Source organism: Homo sapiens, chromosome 8 (genome assembly GCF_000001405.40).
Source record: "Homo sapiens chromosome 8, GRCh38.p14 Primary Assembly".
In the NCBI taxonomy this organism is placed as follows: domain Eukaryota; kingdom Metazoa; phylum Chordata; class Mammalia; order Primates; family Hominidae; genus Homo; species Homo sapiens.
Window position 1 is genome coordinate 85786650 of NC_000008.11, and position 18436 is coordinate 85805085.

Below are 18436 nucleotides of genomic sequence, written 5' to 3' on the forward strand. Positions count from 1 at the left end.
GATCCTTGAGGATTCGCCACACTATCTTCCACAACCGCTGAACTGGTTTACAGTCCCACCAGCAGTTTAAAAGTGTCCCTATTTCTCCACTACCTCTCCAGCACCTGTTGTTTCCTGACTTTTTTATTGATCGCTATTCTAACTGGTGTGAGACGATATCTCTTTGCGGATTTGATTTGCATTTCTCTGATGACCAGTGTTGATGAGCATTTTTTCATGTGTCTGTTGGCTGCATAAATGTCTTCTTTTTAGAAGTGTCTCTTCATATCCTTCCTGCACTTGTTGATGGGGTTGTTTGGTTTTTCTTGTAACTCTGTTTGAGTTCTTAGTAGATTCTGGATATTAGCCCTTTGTCAGATGAGTAGATTGCAAAAATTTTCTCCCTTTCTGTAGCATGCCTGTTCACTCTGATGGGAGTTTCTTTAGCTGTGCAGAAACTCTTTAGTGTAATTAGATGCCGTTTGTCAATATTGGCTTTTGTTGCCTTTGCTTTTGGCGTTTTAGACATGAGGTCCTTGCCCATGCCTATGTCCTGAATGGTATTGCCTAGGTTTTCTCCTAGGGTTTGTATGGCTTAAGATGTAACATTTAAGTCTTTCATCCGTCTTGAATAAACTTTTGTATAAGGTGTAAGGAAGGGATCCAATTTCACCTTCGGACATATGGCTAGCCAGTTTTCCCAGCACCATTTATTAAATAGGGAATCCTTTCCCCATTTCTTGTTTTTGTCAGGTTTGTCAAAGATCCGATGGTTGTAGATGTGTCGTATTATTTCTGAGGGCTCTATTCTGTTCCATTGGTCTACAGTAACCAAAAAGGCAGCCAACAGCATGCTGTTTGGTTACTGTAGGCTTGTAGTGTAGTTTGAAGTCGGGTAGCTTGATGCCTCCAACTTTGTTCTTTTGGCTTAGGATTATCTTGGCAGTGGGGGCCCTTTTGTGGTTCCATGTAAACTTTCAAGTAGTTTTTTCCAATTCTGTGAAGAAAGTCCTTGGTAGCTTGATGGGGATGGCATTGGATCTATAATATACCTTGGGCAGTATGGCCATTTTCACGATACTGATTCTTCCTAACCGTGAGCATGGAATATTCTTCCATTGGTTTGTGTCCTCTTTTATTTCGTGGAGCAGTGGTTTGTAGTTCTCCTTGAAGAGGTCCTTCGCACATCGCATCCCTTGTTAGTTGGATTCCTCAGTATTTTATTCTCTTTGAAGCAATTGTGAATGGGAGCTCAGTCATGATTTGGCTCTCTGTTTGCCTGTTATTGGTGTATAAGAATGCTTGTGATTTTTGCACATCGATTTTGTATCCTGAGACTTTGCTGAAGTTGCTTATCAGCTTAAGGAGATTTTGGGCTGAGACGATGGGTTTTTCTAAATATTCAATCATGTCATCTACAAACAGGGACAATTTGACTTCCTCTTTTCCTAATTGATTACTCTTTATTTCTTTCTCCTGCCTGATTGCCCTGGCCAGAAGTTCCAACACTATGTTGAATAGGAGTGGTGAGAGAGGGCACCCCTGTCTTGTGGCAGTTTGCAAAGGGAATGCTTCCACTTTTTGCCCATTCAGTATGATATTGGCTGTGGGTTTGCCCTAAATAGCCCTTATTATTTTGAGGTATGTCCCATCAGTACCTAATTTATTGAGAGTTTTTGGCATGAAAGGCTGTTGAATTTTGTCAAAGGCCTTTTCTGCATCTGTTGAGATAATCACGCGGTTTCTGTCTTTGGTTCCGATTATATGCTGGATTATGTTTATTGATTTGCATATGTTGGACCAGCCTTGCATGTCAGGGATGAAGCCCACTTGATCATAATGGATAAGCTCTTTGATGTGCTGCTGGATTCGGTTTGCCAGCATTTTATGGAGGATTTTTCCATCGGTGTTCCTCAGGGATATGGGCCGAAAATTCTCTTTGTTGGTTGTGTCTCTCTCAGCCTTTGGGATCAGGATGATGCTGGCCTCATAAAATGAGATAGGGAGGATTCCCTCTTTTTCTGTTGATTGGAATAGTTTCCGAAGGAATGGTACCAGCTCCTCCTTGTACTTCTGGTAGAATTCGGCTGTGAATCCGTCTGGTCCTGGAGTTTTATTGCTTGATAGGCTATTAATTATTGCCTCAATTTCAGAGCCTGTTATTGGTCTATTCAGGCATTCAACTTCTTCCTGGTTTACTCTGGGGAGGTTGCATGTGTCCAGGAATTTATTCATTTCTTCTAGATTTCCGAGTTTGTTTGCCTAGAGGTGTTGACAGTATTCTCTCATGGTAGTTTGTACTTCTGTGGGATCAGTGGTGATATCCCCTTTATCATTTTTTATTGCATCTGCTTGATTCTTCTTCCTTTCATTCTTTAATAGTCTTGCTAGTGGTCTATCAATTTTGTTGATGGTTTCAAAAAACCCGCTCCTGGATTCATTGATTTTTTGAAGGGTTTTTTGGGTCTCTATCTCCTTCAATTCTGCTCGGATCTTAGTTATTTCTTGCCTTCTGCTAGCTTTTGAATGTGTTTGCTCTTGCTTCTCTCATCCTTTTAATGGTGATGTTAGGGTATGCATTTTTGATCTTTCCTCCTTTCCCTTGTGGGCATTTAGTGCTATAAATTTCCCTCTACACACTGCTTTAAATGTGTCCCAGAGATTCTGGTATGTTGTGTCTTTGTTCTCATTGCTTTCAGAGAATATCTTTATTTCTGCCTTCATTTCGTTATGTACCCAGTACTCATTCAGGAACAGCTTGTCCGGTTTCCATGCAGTTGTGCGGTTTTGAGTGAGTTTCTCAATCCTGAGGTCTAGTGTGATTGCAATGTGGTCTGAGAGACCGTTTGTAATAATTTCTGTTATTTTACTTTTACTGAGGAGTGCTTTACTTCCAACTATGTGGTCAATGTGGAAATAAGTGTGATGTGGTGCTGAGAAGAATGTATATTCTGTTGATTTGGGGTGGAGCGTTCTGTAGATGTCTCCTAGGTCCGCTTGGTGCAGAGCTGAGCTCAATTCCCGGATATCCTTTTTTAACTTTCTGTCTCGTTGGTGTGTCTAATGTTGACAGTGGGGTGTTAAGTTTGCCATTATTATTATTATTACTATGTGGGAGTCTAAGTCTCTTTTGATCACACTTTAAAGACCAAAAGGTAGAAGCGCAAAGACGTTATCTGTCCAATATTACAAACCTAGTAAGTGGTGGAATTTGGCCTTGAACCCAGATCTGTAACTCCAGAGCCGAAGTGCTTCACCCACCTCCCTGTGGTGCCTCTACAGAAAAAGAGGTAAGCAGGCATTCCGAAAGCTGGTGGGCCGGGGGGCTGGCCTTGTACTCAGAAGCCATGGAAGTCCCACGTGGGGTGGCTAGTGGTGTAAGGACAGAGGTCTCGGATGGGCAGAGGGATGTGGACAGGCGCGAGGGCGCGCGGCAGGGACTCGGGGGACTGGGAGTGGCGGCTCGGGGCTGCGGGAGGCGATTGGTGGAAGGACAGAGGTCTGGGAGGGGCAGAGGGATGTGGACAGGCCCGAGGGGCCGCGGCAGGGATTCCGGGGGACCGGGAGTGGGGGGTTGGGGTTACTCTTGGCTTTTTGCCCTCTCCTGCCGCCGGCTGCTCCAGTTTCTTTCGCTTTGCGGCGAGGTGGGCAGGGTGAGCTCTCGGGACTGATGGCGGTTTTGGAAGAGGCCTGGGGCTAAGGACAGGCCAGGGCGGCGGGAGAGGCGGACCGGTGGCGTGGCTGGATCTGGGCGCGCTGTCGGACCTTCCACATCACCAGCTGCAGGCAGGCGTTTGCGTCCTCGCTGGAGTTGTGGCCGTCCTGGCTGTCCTGGATGATCTGTGCCAGGTAGTCGGCCGCGAGATTCCTGAGGGAGCGCTTGTAGGGGAAACCCAGGTAGTGCGGGAAGAGCACGGCCGTGTCCACCACGGTGCTGTGGATGAGCTTCAGGGCCAGCAGGTCGCTCTCCAGGCTGTGCCCGATGAGGATGGTTTGGGCGCTGAAAAAGCTCAGCAGGATGGCTTGGACTTGGGGCAACGTGATGCTCGTCTTGGCGACGTCGGCCTCGGTGACTCCGGAAAACCTGGTGTTGTAGTCCACGATCTCGTTGTCGGGCTTGACGAAGGTGTCGTACACCACTCGCATGTCGGCGTCCACCACGGTGACGCGGGTCAGCTCTAGGCCATGCGTGGTGTAGCACATCTCACAGTCCAAGGCGTAGATTCCTGGATAAGCGTCTCTGGACAACTCTTTCTTGAAGGTCTCCACGAAGCCATCGAGGCTCTCCTTGCGGCCGTCCCGCACGTGCTGCTTTGCCACCTGGCAGCCCACAGAGCCAGGAGCAGCTGCACAGCAGGTGTACTGGCTAACCCGGCCTCCAGCCACCTGGCTCGAGCGGACCCGCCCCCAGTGATAATAACACAACTGGTCGCGTACACAGCGGCCCGAGGAGGACACCAGGTACTCGGTGCCACAACGGCAGCAGACCCTGCAGGAGGAGTCGCCGGGCCCCTTCCCCTGGCCAGTGAAGAGGACGGCGCCTCCGGGCCGCTCGGGGTGCGGGAAGGGGTAGCCGTTCTCCTTGAGCTGGTCCTGGGTGAGCAGGAACTCCTGGAGGCGGCTGTACAGGGCGGCCCTGCTGAGGCCGGGCATGGAGCTGGGGGTCAGGCCCTTCAGTCTCTTGAGGGTGTTCAGGACCACGTTCAGGTACCTGTTCTTGTTGGGGCTGCAGTCGTAGGCCACCTTCTCCTCGTTCAGCGCCTTCTCCTCGGCCTCCTGCTTGGAGGCGCAGAACTTGAGACACTCTTCGGTGAACAGCTGGAGATAGCCTCGGCGGAGGACGGTGGGGACTTGGCACCCAGAGCTTCGGAGGATAATGGGTTTCTTCAAACTCAAACTCGGTAAGGATGCACGACGGACGATTCGCTTAGAGCTGGTGGTGGCGGTGGTCTTGCATGCCATCCCTGACCTGTTGCGCGTCTTCCCTGGCTGTCTGCCGACCTTGGAGCCACGGGAGCGTTGGCTGCTGCTGGCCACCCGGGTTCTCTTGGCATCTGTGTAACCTGTGACCAAGCAAGGGCTGGAAGAGTGGGCGATCGTCTTCCTCTTCCTGGGGGCTGAGATGCGGACTCCCGAGGGCCTCTCTGTCAGCCTTGGGGCGGCTGGCAAGCGGCAGGCCGATCCCCTCTGCGCAGGGAAGTAGCACGACTCCGTCACCATCTTGGGCCACGCTGGGGGCACCGCCGGACCCCTGTTCTGGGGCTCCGCCTGGATGTCCACAAATGCTGAGGCCTGCTTGTGCATCTGGGGCACCCAGAGCCCGAAGCTCTGGGCAGGCTGATGAGAGGGCAGTGGGAATTCTGGAGCCTCGAGGGCCGCCTCCTCGGCCACCTTCTTAGCTTCTGGGTATCCAGGTGGGAACCAGCAGGGAGCTGTGGCTCGCAACATCTTGCTGCCTTCGGGAGCACCGGCCGGGCTCTGCTCCGCTCCCAAATGGCGGCTTGCCTCCGGGGCCGCCTCCTTGGCCACCTTCTTAGCTTCTGGGTATCCAGGGCGGAACCAGCAGGGAGCTGTGGCTCGCAACATCTTGCTGCCTTCGGGAGCACCGGCCTGGCTCTGCTCCCCTCCCAAATGGCGGCTTGCCTCCAGGGCCGCCTCCTCGGCCACCTTCTTAGCTTCTGGGTATCCAGGGGGGAACCAGCAGGGAGCTGTGGCTCGCAACATCTTGCTGCCTTCGGGAGCACCGGCCTGGCTCTGCTCCTCTCCCAACTGGCGGCTTCAATGAGTGCTGCGGCCGCCACTTGTCGCCTTTATATAGGCACAGGGCAGACTGGGTGGGACTTCTCCTTGATAGGTTGGTGCTTCAGTCCAATCACACTGAGCCTCATCTTCCACCAGACTCCAGCTTGGGAATGCCTCAGGGGGTGCGCTAATGGAATCAACTGGAACTCCCGGTTGCTAAACTTGGAGCTAGGTTGCTTTTCCTGAGTTAAGTAACTGTCCCTGCAGGGCAGTCCTATAATGGCTACTGGAATTGGGCTACCTAGGATTAAATTAAGGTTCAGGGAGGTTGGTCAACTTGCTTGGGCCCACACAGCACTCCTTGGAGCCAGGACTGGGCCAGCAGTCTGCTGCATGCTGGAGGGCGGGATCCCTCTGGGGCTGCCTTTCCCTGCTCTGTGCACTCCGCCGCTGCGGGCAAATTGAGGACAGGAAGCGGACCGCACCCACTTCTCTCCCAGGACTTGGGCAATGTTCAACACAGGTGGTCTTCCAAAGGTTCATAGAAAATGCACATGGTGAAGAAACTATGCATGGATTTCCACTGGTTTGCACTAAAATAAACTTGTCCTAACTTCTGATAACCTTTCTGAACTAGATCTAGTTTGAGGCACTAAGAAGGATGAGACATCCACTGAAAAGGACTCCCATCAGAGCAACATGAATTCCACGAAAATTGCAGCAAGAGGAAACATCAAATTTATGGTGAAGCTTGGGTGGAAGATTGAAGAAATCATTGACGTTTTAAGAAAAGCTTGTAAGGACACTACCCCAAAGAAATGAACTCTTTACGAATGTATAGCTTGTTTCAAGAAGAGGTGAGAAGATGTGGAAGATGAATCCTGCAGTGGCTGTGAAAACCACTGTGCCCAGATCAGCTGCAGTTACGACGAGAGCTATCAGTGGAAATTTTAAACAGGAGGGATCACGATCCTGACGCATCCCTCTGACAAATTGTAAGCGGCAGTTGGAACATGGCTTCACCAATATGATCGCCAAGGCAAAGCATCATGAAAGCGATGGCTACCAAGAGGTGGCAGTGGTCCAGTCAAAGGAAAAGGAGGCCAGTCAGGAGCCCACATCATGGCATCAGTGTTTTGGGACACTCAAGGCATTTTGCTTGTTGACTTTCTGAAAGGCCAAACATCTGCTTATTAGGAGAGTGTTCTGAGAAGCTTAGATAAAGCTTTGGTAGAAACATGCTGGGAAAGTCTCACTAGATCCTTGTTCACCACATCAATGCTCTGCTCATTCCTCTCATCAAACAAGGGCAATTTTGTCAGTTTCAATGGGCAGTCCTTAGGAATTCACCTTACGGGCTGCTTTCATTCCTTCTAAATTCTTTTTGTTTCCTAATGATAAAAAGTCTCCTTGCCTTGCTTGGAAAGATGAGAGAAAGTCTCCTTGCCTTGTTTGGACAGATGAGAGATGAGATCCTCCTCTTCTCTCCCAGGACAGAATGGTGAGACTTGAGTTTCCTTTCTCCTCACTCTTCTCCTCCTTGAGGGAGCTGCTGTGCCGGACAGACCTGCCCCCGTGTCTAGACACTGGTAGACTCGTTTAAGTTCCTCACAGGCAATCCTCCATGGGGTCAAAGTGGAAGGACTTATTTCTTCAGGGCTCAGTAGTCCACATCCTGGCGCGCACCTTCACCAGCCCAGGGCGGGGTAGAGGAGGGTGAAAGGGCGTGGCTCAGAGCCCGCTTCTTCCGCTCGGGCGTATCCTGGGAGGAACCCTTGTCCGGTGAGCATGTCTTCGTCTCTACCAAATTCCCTAGTGGGACATTTCTGGCAGCCCTACTTGTTCAGCAGCTTACGGGGGTCAGGTGGACCTCTGCTAGTCACCAGCCTGAAGCCCTTTCTCCATTTCAGCTATTTTGGCAGTTGCCTAGGTTGCTTTTGAACCTCATTATCCAGAACAGCAAACGGACGAGGGGTGAGAAGAGTGGCCGTCTGGGTTTGCAGCATAGTGCTGCCTTCTAGGAGTTGTGCAGTCTTCGATTGTGTGAAACTTCACCTGGCTGATTTGTGGCAATGCCTCCACAAATTCGCTAAATTCAGTAGCTTTGGCCTTCCAAGATTCATTTACACAATGTTGAATGCTTTAAATGAATGAGCATGAAGAGTGCTGGGCTGGAAAGTGATGAGATGGGTGGTAGGGACTCCTCGGAGTAGAGGAGTAGAGTTTTACTATTATGACTAGGAGGCAAATAAAAAGAAGCTGAACGTGATCCATAATAAAAGAAGCACACACTCACAGAGCTCCATACCAACTACATTAAAATGGAAATCATGATATTTGGAAATACAACTTAATTGGAAATCATTAAGTAATCTCATCAACCTTTTTACAGTGGGTGGCAGGGCTATGGAGGGAAAACAGCAATGGTTCTGGCACCTACTTAACTTGATTCCATTAAATTCACCCAACAGGCCTCCAGAGAACATATTACTGCTTTGATATTACAAAGGGAAAAACAGCTATGGCGTCTCTGAAAAGCACAACGTGCTAGGACTGGAATGACTTTAAAACCACACATAAATTTCTGAGAGATTTTTGCCATAAGGTACCATCCACCTTACTGTAAACCACATCCTAAAATTGTCTGCAGTGCAAATGGATTATGTGCATCCAACAGGAAACAGCATAGGTTGAGAAGCTGTTACTTAATAGCTTCATTGTCACCACGAGTGTAAAGTGTGGGGTCTCATCACTTTTGCACCCACGTTTTGCCTGTTGGTTTCTCCACACTGTCAGGAGCATTTGACCAACTCACTGTGGCTCAGGGTCCCTTACGCAGCCTGTTGGGGAAACCAGTGGGTATTGAAGACCTGCCTCTGGTGTGCCAGGAGGTTGTGCCTGCCGGCCACTCTGACTTGCGATCTTCCGCCTCAGTGTATGGCTTCCTACACCTGGGTAATTAACATAGCCAGCATGATAAGGAGGTCCTTTCATCACTATTGCCACTAGTCCTTCCGACTCCTGTGCCCTGTTTCTCCTTTATTGGAACCCAAGAACGAGTAAACATAGCATTTTCAAACATCCCGCCCCCTTCCCTGGTAACACCAATATTCCACCATCCTAATTGCCTCACAAGCATTGAGTCTCTCCACCCTGAGGTGGTGAAATCCCTGCAGGCATTTATAAGTATACCTGGACAGAAGAAATACAAGATACCGTTCTATTAACTCAATATAGTGTTGCTAAGTTCGTACTTGTGCTTGGTTTATGTTATTTTATAAATACGTATCACTCGCATGGTTCCAAATGCGGTAGGCACAGAGAGTATATATGATGGAATTACATCCTCCTTCCCTGCACTCAGCAACCGAGATCTTCCCGCTACGGGCACTGAAAGGTTTCATTGTCTGAAATATCAGCCTAAACGTAGTTTATGTTTAGGAAGCAACAACCGTAAATAGGCCCACATCCAAACGGAGTGGATTTAGGTTTCACTTTTTCAAGGAAAAACCATCAAAGAATTTTTCCACATACTTATAAACCATCCCACGTATAGAATCCATTTTTACTGACACAAATTTAGTACCAATAAACGACTCTTCTTCTCAATTTGTTTTATTTAACAATAAGTCTTGAACGTCATTCCCAGTTAACATTTTGAAGAGTTTCCTCTCTTTCGTTCTGTTTTAGCTGCAAAGTATTCTTCCGTAAGGATGAACGTACTATAATTTATTAGCCAGCCACTTAGTGATGTACAATTAAGCAGTTTTAAATCTTTGACTCTTGAAAATATTGTTTCTCACACATAAATATTTCTATAAAATAAATTAGTTGAATTAGAATTGTTGGAGTTCAAGACCAGCCTGGCCAACATGGTGAAACCCCATCTCTACTAGAAACACAAAATTAGCCGGACATGCCGGTACATGCCTCTAATCTCAGGTGAGGCAGGAGAATCACTTCAACCTGGGAGGCAGAGGTTGTAGTGACTCGAAATCACGCCACTGCACTCCAGCCTGGGCGACGCGAGCGAAACTCTGTCTCAAAAAACCAAAAAAAATTAAACATAAAAAGAAAAGCGGTACATATTCCCAATAGAACACAATTCAGCCTTAAAAAAGAAAGAAATCATCTCATTGGCAACACGAATGAGCCTAGAGGATGGTACACTGAGTGAAAGAAAGCAAAGGCCAGGCACGGTGGCTCATGCCTGTAATCCCAGTACTTTGGGAGGCCAAGGCAGGTGGAAGCGTTGAGCCCAGGAGTTGGAGATGAACCTGGGCAACATGGTGAAACCCCATCTCTAAAAGAAACACAAAAATTAGCCAAGTGTGGCGTTGGACGCCTGTAGTCCTAGCTATTCAGGAGGCTGAAGCGGGAGGAACTCTCGACCCCGGGAGGTGGAGGCCGTGGTGGGTGAGTGAGCCGTGTTTGTGTCACTGTACTCCAGCCTGGGTGACAGACTGAGACCCTGTCTCAAAAAATAAATAATTACATAATAAAATTTAAAAAGCAAGCACAAAAAGACAAATACTGCATGATCTCACTTATATGTGCAATCTCAAACAATGCAACTCATAGCTGTAGAGAGCAGAACGGTGGTTACCCGAGGCAGGGGTCAGGGAGGGACTGGAGAGATGATAGTCTCATGATACAAAATTTCAGAGAGGAATGGTTCTAGAGATCTATTGAACAGCCTGGCATCTACAGTGTATAAGTATGTATTGTATACTTGAAAATTGCTATAAGAGTAGATTTTAGACATGTCCTCATCACATTAAAATCAGTATGTGAGGAAACGAGTGTGTTAATTAGCTTGATTTTGTCATTCCACAATGTATACACGTATGAAACATCATGTTGTATGCCATAAATATATATAATTTTTATTTGTCAAGTTAAAATTAAAATTCATATAAATTATAAAAATAAAATGAAATAACATACACTACAAAAGACGTTTATTTATTAAATCCCCACAGAAAGGGTCTAAGTGATAAAGGAAAATAAAATTCCGGGAACGGTAAAATCAATCAGAAATGCCCTACTTCAGTGCTTTCCGAAATTTGTCTGACAGAGTGGAAATCCAGTTTTTCACTAAGTCACTGTTCTGGAACAGTTTGTGTGTGTGTATGTATGTGTGTCAGGGCTCACATACACAAATTGAACTAATGGAAGTGTAAGCATTCAAATTATCAGTTTAATTTAGTTCTATACATATACACACACACACACTCACACACCGAAAACATTGATAAAATCAGCCATTCCAGCAAAACTAGCTACTTAGTGTCTATCTCTCCTTGAAGATTCAAACTAGAAATGAGGATTTAGAGAGGCATGATGGTTCGTTCTCTCTTGGAGCCCAGTTCGAAGTTGACTGACTGATTCAGTCATTGTAATTGGTTGGTCTTGGGGAAGAATCCACTTTGACTCTTGGGAAGTCAGCTAGGTCAGCGGACAGAGCAGGGGCTCTGGAGCCAGACTGCCTGCACCCGACTTCTAGCTATGATACCTTGGATAAACTACTTATCACCTGGGCTTCAGGTTCCTCATCTGTAAAATGGGGATAAGAATGCTATCTCTCTCACAACTGTTAGGAGGACAGACTGGGTTAATACGTGCAAAGTACCAAGTACATAAGAAACCAACAGCCAGTGCTCATTACAATCATTATTATTTTGGGCAAGTTAAGCCGCATGGTTTCTTTAGGTATAAAATTAGGCTTTATTTACCTACCTGTTGGGTTGTTCCAAGGATTAATCACATAGTGTTCATGAATTCCCTTTATAAACTATTATAGAAAAGAAATATAGTTAACATTAATTGAACACCTACTATGTGCGATCGTTTTAAGGCTTGCCATGTGCTGCTTCATTCAGTCCGCACCATGACATTAGGATCACACTTTCGTTTTCCATTTTTTTTTAAATTATACTTTAATTACTAGGGTACATGTGCACAACGTGCAGGTTTATTACGTATGTAAGCACGTGCCATGTTGGTGTGCTGCACCCATTCACTAGTCATTTACATTAGGTATATCTCTTAATGTTATCCCTCCCCCTCCCCCCGCCCATGACAGGCCCCGGTGTGTGATGTTCCCCTTTCTGCGTCCAAGTGTTCTCCTAGTTCAATTCCCACCTATGAGTGGGATCACGCGGTGTTTGGTTTTTTTGTCCTTGCGATAGTTTGCTAAGAATGATGGTTTCCAGCTTCATCCGTGTCCCTCCGAAGGGCATGAACACATGCTTTTTTATGGCTGCATAGTATTCCACGGTGTATTTGTGCCACGTTTCCTTAATCCAGTCTATCATTGATGGACATCTGGGCTGGTTCCAAGTCTTTGCTACTGTGAACGGTGCCGCAATAAACATACGTCTGCGTGTGTCCTTTTAGCAGCATGATTTATAGTCCTATGGGTGTATACCCAGTAATGGGACGGCTGGGTCAAATGGTATTTCTAATTCTAGATCCTTGAGGATTCGCCACACTATCTTCCACAACCGCTGAACTGGTTTACAGTCCCACCAGCAGTGTAAAAGTGTCCCTATTTCTCCACTACCTCTCCAGCACCTGTTGTTTCTTGACTTTTTTATTGATCGCTATTGTAACTGGTGTGAGACGATATCTCTTTGCGGATTTGATTTGCATTTCTCTGATGACCAGTGTTGATGAGCATTTTTTCATGTGTCTGTTGGCTGCATAAATGTCTTCTTTTTAGAAGTGTCTCTTCATATCCTTCCCGCACTTGTTGATGGGGTTGTTTGGATTTTCTTGTAACTCTGTTTGAGTTCTTAGTAGATTCTGGATATTAGCCCTTTGTCAGATGAGTAGATTGCAAAAATTTTCTCCCTTTCTGTAGCATGCCTGTTCACTCTGATGGGAGTTTCTTTAGCTGTGCAGAAACTCTTTAGTGTAATTAGATGCCGTTTGTCAATATTGGCTTTTGTTGCCTTTGCTTTTGGCGTTTTAGACATGAGGTCCTTGCCCATGCCTATGTCCTGAATGGTATTGCCTAGGTTTTCTCCTAGGGTTTGTATGGCTTAAGATGTAACATTTAAGTCTTTCATCCGTCTTGAATAAACTTTTGCATAAGGTGTAAGGAAGGGATCCAATTTCACCTTCGGACATATGGCTAGCCAGTTTTCCCAGCACCATTTATTAAATAGGGAATCCTTTCCCCATTTCTTGTTTTTGTCAGGTTTGTCAAAGATCCGACGGTTGTAGATGTGTCGTATTATTTCTGAGGGCTCTATTCTGTTCCATTGGTCTACAGTAACCAAAAAGGCAACCAACAGCATGCTGTTTGGTTACTGTAGGCTTGTAGTGTAGTTTGAAGTCGGGTAGCTTGATGCCTCCACCTTTGTTCTTTTGGCTTAGGATTATCTTGGCAGTGGGGGCCCTTTTGTGGTTCCATGTAAACTTTCAAGTAGTTTTTTCCAATTCTGTGAAGAAAGTCCTTGGTAGCTTGATGGGGATGGCATTGGATCTATAATATACCTTGGGCAGTATGGCCATTTTCACGATACTGATTCTTCCTAACCGTGAGCATGGAATATTCTTCCATTGGTTTGTGTCCTCTTTTATTTCGTGGAGCAGTGGTTTGTAGTTCTCCTTGAAGAGGTCCTTCGCACATCGCATCCCTTGTTAGTTGGATTCCTCAGTATTTTATTCTCTTTGAAGCAATTGTGAATGGGAGCTCAGTCATGATTTGGCTCTCTGTTTGCCTGTTATTGGTGTATGAGAATGCTTGTGATTTTTGCACATCGATTTTGTATCCTGAGACTTTGCTGAAGTTGCTTATCAGCTTAAGGAGATTTTGGGCTGAGACGATGGGGTTTTCTAAATATTCAATCGTGTCATCTACAAACAGGGACAATTTGACTTCCTCTTTTCCTAATTGATTACTCTTTATTTCTTTCTCCTGCCTGATTGCCCTGGCCAGAAGTTCCAACACTATGTTGAATAGGAGTGGTGAGAGAGGGCACCCCTGTCTTGTGGCAGTTTGCAAAGGGAATGCTTCCACTTTTTGCCCATTCAGTATGATATTGGCTGTGGGTTTGCCCTAAATAGCCCTTATTATTTTGAGGTATGTCCCATCAGTACCTAATTTATTGAGAGTTTTTGGCATGAAAGGCTGTTGAATTTTGTCAAAGGCCTTTTCTGCATCTGTTGAGATAATCACGCGGTTTCTGTCTTTGGTTCCGATTATATGCTGGATTATGTTTATTGATTTGCATATGTTGGACCAGCCTTGCATGTCAGGGATGAAGCCCACTTGATCATAATGGATAAGCTCTTTGATGTGCTGCTGGATTCGGTTTGCCAGCATTTTATGGAGGATTTTTCCATCGGTGTTCCTCAGGGATATGGGCCGAAAATTCTCTTTGTTGGTTGTGTCTCTCTCAGCCTTTGGGATCAGGATGATGCTGGCCTCATAAAATGAGATAGGGAGGATTCCCTCTTTTTCTGTTGATTGGAATAGTTTCCGAAGGAATGGTACCAGCTCCTCCTTGTACTTCTGGTAGAATTCGGCTGTGAATCCGTCTGGTCCTGGAGTTTTATTGCTTGATAGGCTATTAATTATTGCCTCAATTTCAGAGCCTGTTATTGGTCTATTCAGGCATTCAACTTCTTCCTGGTTTACTCTGGGGAGGTTGCATGTGTCCAGGAATTTATTCATTTCTTCTAGATTTCCGAGTTTGTTTGCCTAGAGGTGTTGACAGTATTCTCTCATGGTAGTTTGTACTTCTGTGGGATCAGTGGTGATATCCCCTTTATCATTTTTTATTGCATCTGCTTGATTCTTCTTCCTTTCATTCTTTAATAGTCTTGCTAGTGGTCTATCAATTTTGTTGATGGTTTCAAAAAACCCGCTCCTGGATTCATTGATTTTTTGAAGGGTTTTTTGGGTCTCTATCTCCTTCAGTTCTGCTCGGATCTTAGTTAATTCTTGCCTTCTGCTAGCTTTTGAATGTGTTTGCTCTTGCTTCTCTCATCCTTTTAATGGTGATGTTAGGGTATGCATTTTTGATCTTTCCTGCTTTCCCTTGTGGGCATTTAGTGCTATAAATTTCCCTCTACACACTGCTTTAAATGTGTCCCAGAGATTCTGGTATGTTGTGTCTTTGTTCTCATTGCTTTCAGAGAATATCTTTATTTCTGCCTTCATTTCGTTATGTACCCAGTACTCATTCAGGAGCAGCTTGTCCGGTTTCCATGCAGTTGAGCGGTTTTGAGTGACTTTCTCAATCCTGAGGTCTAGTGTGATTGCAATGTGGTCTGAGAGACCGTTTGTAATAATTTCTGTAATTTTACTTTTACTGAGGAGTGCTTTACTTCCAACTATGTGGTCAATGTGGAAATAAGTGTGATGTGGTGCTGAGAAGAATGTATATTCTGTTGATTTGGGGTGGAGCGTTCTGTAGATGTCTCCTAGGTCCGCTTGGTGCAGAGCTGAGCTCAATTCCCGGATATCCTTTTTTAACTTTCTGTCTCGTTGGTGTGTCTAATGTTGACAGTGGGGTGTTAAGTTTGCCATTATTATTATTATTACTATGTGGGAGTCTAAGTCTCTTTTGATCACACTTTAAAGACCAAAAGGTAGAAGCGCAAAGACGTTATCTGTCCAATATTACAAACCTAGTAAGTGGTGGAATTTGGCCTTGAACCCAGATCTGTAACTCCAGAGCCGAAGTGCTTCACCCACCTCCCTGTGGTGCCTCTACAGAAAAAGAGGTAAGCAGGCATTCCGAAAGCTGGTGGGCCGGGGGGCTGGCCTTGTACTCAGAAGCCATGGAAGTCCCACGTGGGGTGGCTAGTGGTGTAAGGACAGAGGTCTCGGATGGGCAGAGGGATGTGGACAGGCGCGAGGGCGCGCGGCAGGGACTCGGGGGACTGGGAGTGGCGGCTCGGGGCTGCGGGAGGCGATTGGTGGAAGGACAGAGGTCTGGGAGGGGCAGAGGGATGTGGACAGGCCCGAGGGGCCGCGGCAGGGATTCCGGGGGACCGGGAGTGGGGGGTTGGGGTTACTCTTGGCTTTTTGCCCTCTCCTGCCGCCGGCTGCTCCAGTTTCTTTCGCTTTGCGGCGAGGTGGGCAGGGTGAGCTCTCGGGACTGATGGCGGTTTTGGAAGAGGCCTGGGGCTAAGGACAGGCCAGGGCGGCGGGAGAGGCGGACCGGTGGCGTGGCTGGATCTGGGCGCGCTGTCGGACCTTCCACATCACCAGCTGCAGGCAGGCGTTTGCGTCCTCGCTGGAGTTGTGGCCGTCCTGGCTGTCCTGGATGATCTGTGCCAGGTAGTCGGCCGCGAGATTCCTGAGGGAGCGCTTGTAGGGGAAACCCAGGTAGTGCGGGAAGAGCACGGCCGTGTCCACCACGGTGCTGTGGATGAGCTTCAGGGCCAGCAGGTCGCTCTCCAGGCTGTGCCCGATGAGGATGGTTTGGGCGCTGAAAAAGCTCAGCAGGATGGCTTGGACTTGGGGCAACGTGATGCTCGTCTTGGCGACGTCGGCCTCGGTGACTCCGGAAAACCTGGTGTTGTAGTCCACGATCTCGTTGTCGGGCTTGACGAAGGTGTCGTACACCACTCGCATGTCGGCGTCCACCACGGTGACGCGGGTCAGCTCTAGGCCATGCGTGGTGTAGCACATCTCACAGTCCAAGGCGTAGATTCCTGGATAAGCGTCTCTGGACAACTCTTTCTTGAAGGTCTCCACGAAGCCATCGAGGCTCTCCTTGCGGCCGTCCCGCACGTGCTGCTTTGCCACCTGGCAGCCCACAGAGCCAGGAGCAGCTGCACAGCAGGTGTACTGGCTAACCCGGCCTCCAGCCACCTGGCTCGAGCGGACCCGCCCCCAGTGATAATAACACAACTGGTCGCGTACACAGCGGCCCGAGGAGGACACCAGGTACTCGGTGCCACAACGGCAGCAGACCCTGCAGGAGGAGTCGCCGGGCCCCTTCCCCTGGCCAGTGAAGAGGACGGCGCCTCCGGGCCGCTCGGGGTGCGGGAAGGGGTAGCCGTTCTCCTTGAGCTGGTCCTGGGTGAGCAGGAACTCCTGGAGGCGGCTGTACAGGGCGGCCCTGCTGAGGCCGGGCATGGAGCTGGGGGTCAGGCCCTTCAGTCTCTTGAGGGTGTTCAGGACCACGTTCAGGTACCTGTTCTTGTTGGGGCTGCAGTCGTAGGCCACCTTCTCCTCGTTCAGCGCCTTCTCCTCGGCCTCCTGCTTGGAGGCGCAGAACTTGAGACACTCTTCGGTGAACAGTTGGAGATAGCCTCGGCGGAGGACGGTGGGGACTTGGCACCCAGAGCTTCGGAGGATAATGGGTTTCTTCAAACTCAAACTCGGTAAGGATGCACGACGGACGATTCGCTTAGAGCTGGTGGTGGCGGTGGTCTTGCATGCCATCCCTGACCTGTTGCGCGTCTTCCCTGGCTGTCTGCCGACCTTGGAGCCACGGGAGCGTTGGCTGCTGCTGGCCACCCGGGTTCTCTTGGCATCTGTGTAACCTGTGACCAAGCAAGGGCTGGAAGAGTGGGCGATCGTCTTCCTCTTCCTGGGGGCTGAGATGCGGACTCCCGAGGGCCTCTCTGTCAGCCTTGGGGCGGCTGGCAAGCGGCAGGCCGATCCCCTCTGCGCAGGGAAGTAGCACGACTCCGTCACCATCTTGGGCCACGCTGGGGGCACCGCCGGACCCCTGTTCTGGGGCTCCGCCTGGATGTCCACAAATGCTGAGGCCTGCTTGTGCATCTGGGGCACCCAGAGCCCGAAGCTCTGGGCAGGCTGATGAGAGGGCAGTGGGAATTCTGGAGCCTCGAGGGCCGCCTCCTCGGCCACCTTCTTAGCTTCTGGGTATCCAGGTGGGAACCAGCAGGGAGCTGTGGCTCGCAACATCTTGCTGCCTTCGGGAGCACCGGCCGGGCTCTGCTCCGCTCCCAAATGGCGGCTTGCCTCCGGGGCCGCCTCCTTGGCCAGCTTCTTAGCTTCTGGGTATCCAGGGCGGAACCAGCAGGGAGCTGTGGCTCGCAACATCTTGCTGCCTTCGGGAGCACCGGCCTGGCTCTGCTCCCCTCCCAAATGGCGGCTTGCCTCCAGGGCCGCCTCCTCGGCCACCTTCTTAGCTTCTGGGTATCCAGGGGGGAACCAGCAGGGAGCTGTGGCTCGCAACATCTTGCTGCCTTCGGGAGCACCGGCCTGGCTCTGCTCCTCTCCCAACTGGCGGCTTCAATGAGTGCTGCGGCCGCCACTTGTCGCCTTTATATAGGCACAGGGCAGACTGGGTGGGACTTCTCCTTGATAGGTTGGTGCTTCAGTCCAATCACACTGAGCCTCATCTTCCACCAGACTCCAGCTTGGGAATGCCTCAGGGGGTGCGCTAATGGAATCAACTGGAACTCCCGGTTGCTAAACTTGGAGCTAGGTTGCTTTTCCTGAGTTAAGTAACTGTCCCTGCAGGGCAGTCCTATAATGGCTACTGGAATTGGGCTACCTAGGATTAAATTAAGGTTCAGGGAGGTTGGTCAACTTGCTTGGGCCCACACAGCACCCCTTGGAGCCAGGACTGGGCCAGCAGTCTGCTGCATGCTGGAGGGCGGGATCCCTCTGGGGCTGCCTTTCCCTGCTCTGTGCACTCCGCCGCTGCGGGCAAATTGAGGACAGGAAGCGGACCGCACCCACTTCTCTCCCAGGACTTGGGCAATGTTCAACACA

At 48.7% G+C, this 18436-nt stretch overlaps 1 protein-coding gene and 1 pseudogene across 1 annotated transcript, besides 1 other annotated feature; both read right to left on the reverse strand.

Annotated features, from left to right (window-relative positions):
- On the reverse strand, nt 3676-5703 carry LOC124902048 (putative exonuclease GOR). The gene has a single exon (XM_047422536.1). It carries the CDS (start codon nt 5701-5703, stop codon nt 3676-3678), a length of 2028 nt encoding a protein of 675 aa, XP_047278492.1.
- Nucleotides 3695-4480: an enhancer, noted in NCBI's record as "OCT4-H3K27ac-H3K4me1 hESC enhancer chr8:86802573-86803358 (GRCh37/hg19 assembly coordinates)". NCBI's record gives its function as "activates a minimal SCP1, AML or CMV promoter by ChIP-STARR-seq in naive and primed H9 embryonic stem cells {active_cell/tissue: H9 hESC(naive and primed)}" and the evidence as "EXISTENCE:reporter gene assay evidence [ECO:0000049][PMID:30033119]".
- Nucleotides 15674-16809, reverse strand: REXO1L4P (REXO1 like 4, pseudogene; annotated as a pseudogene).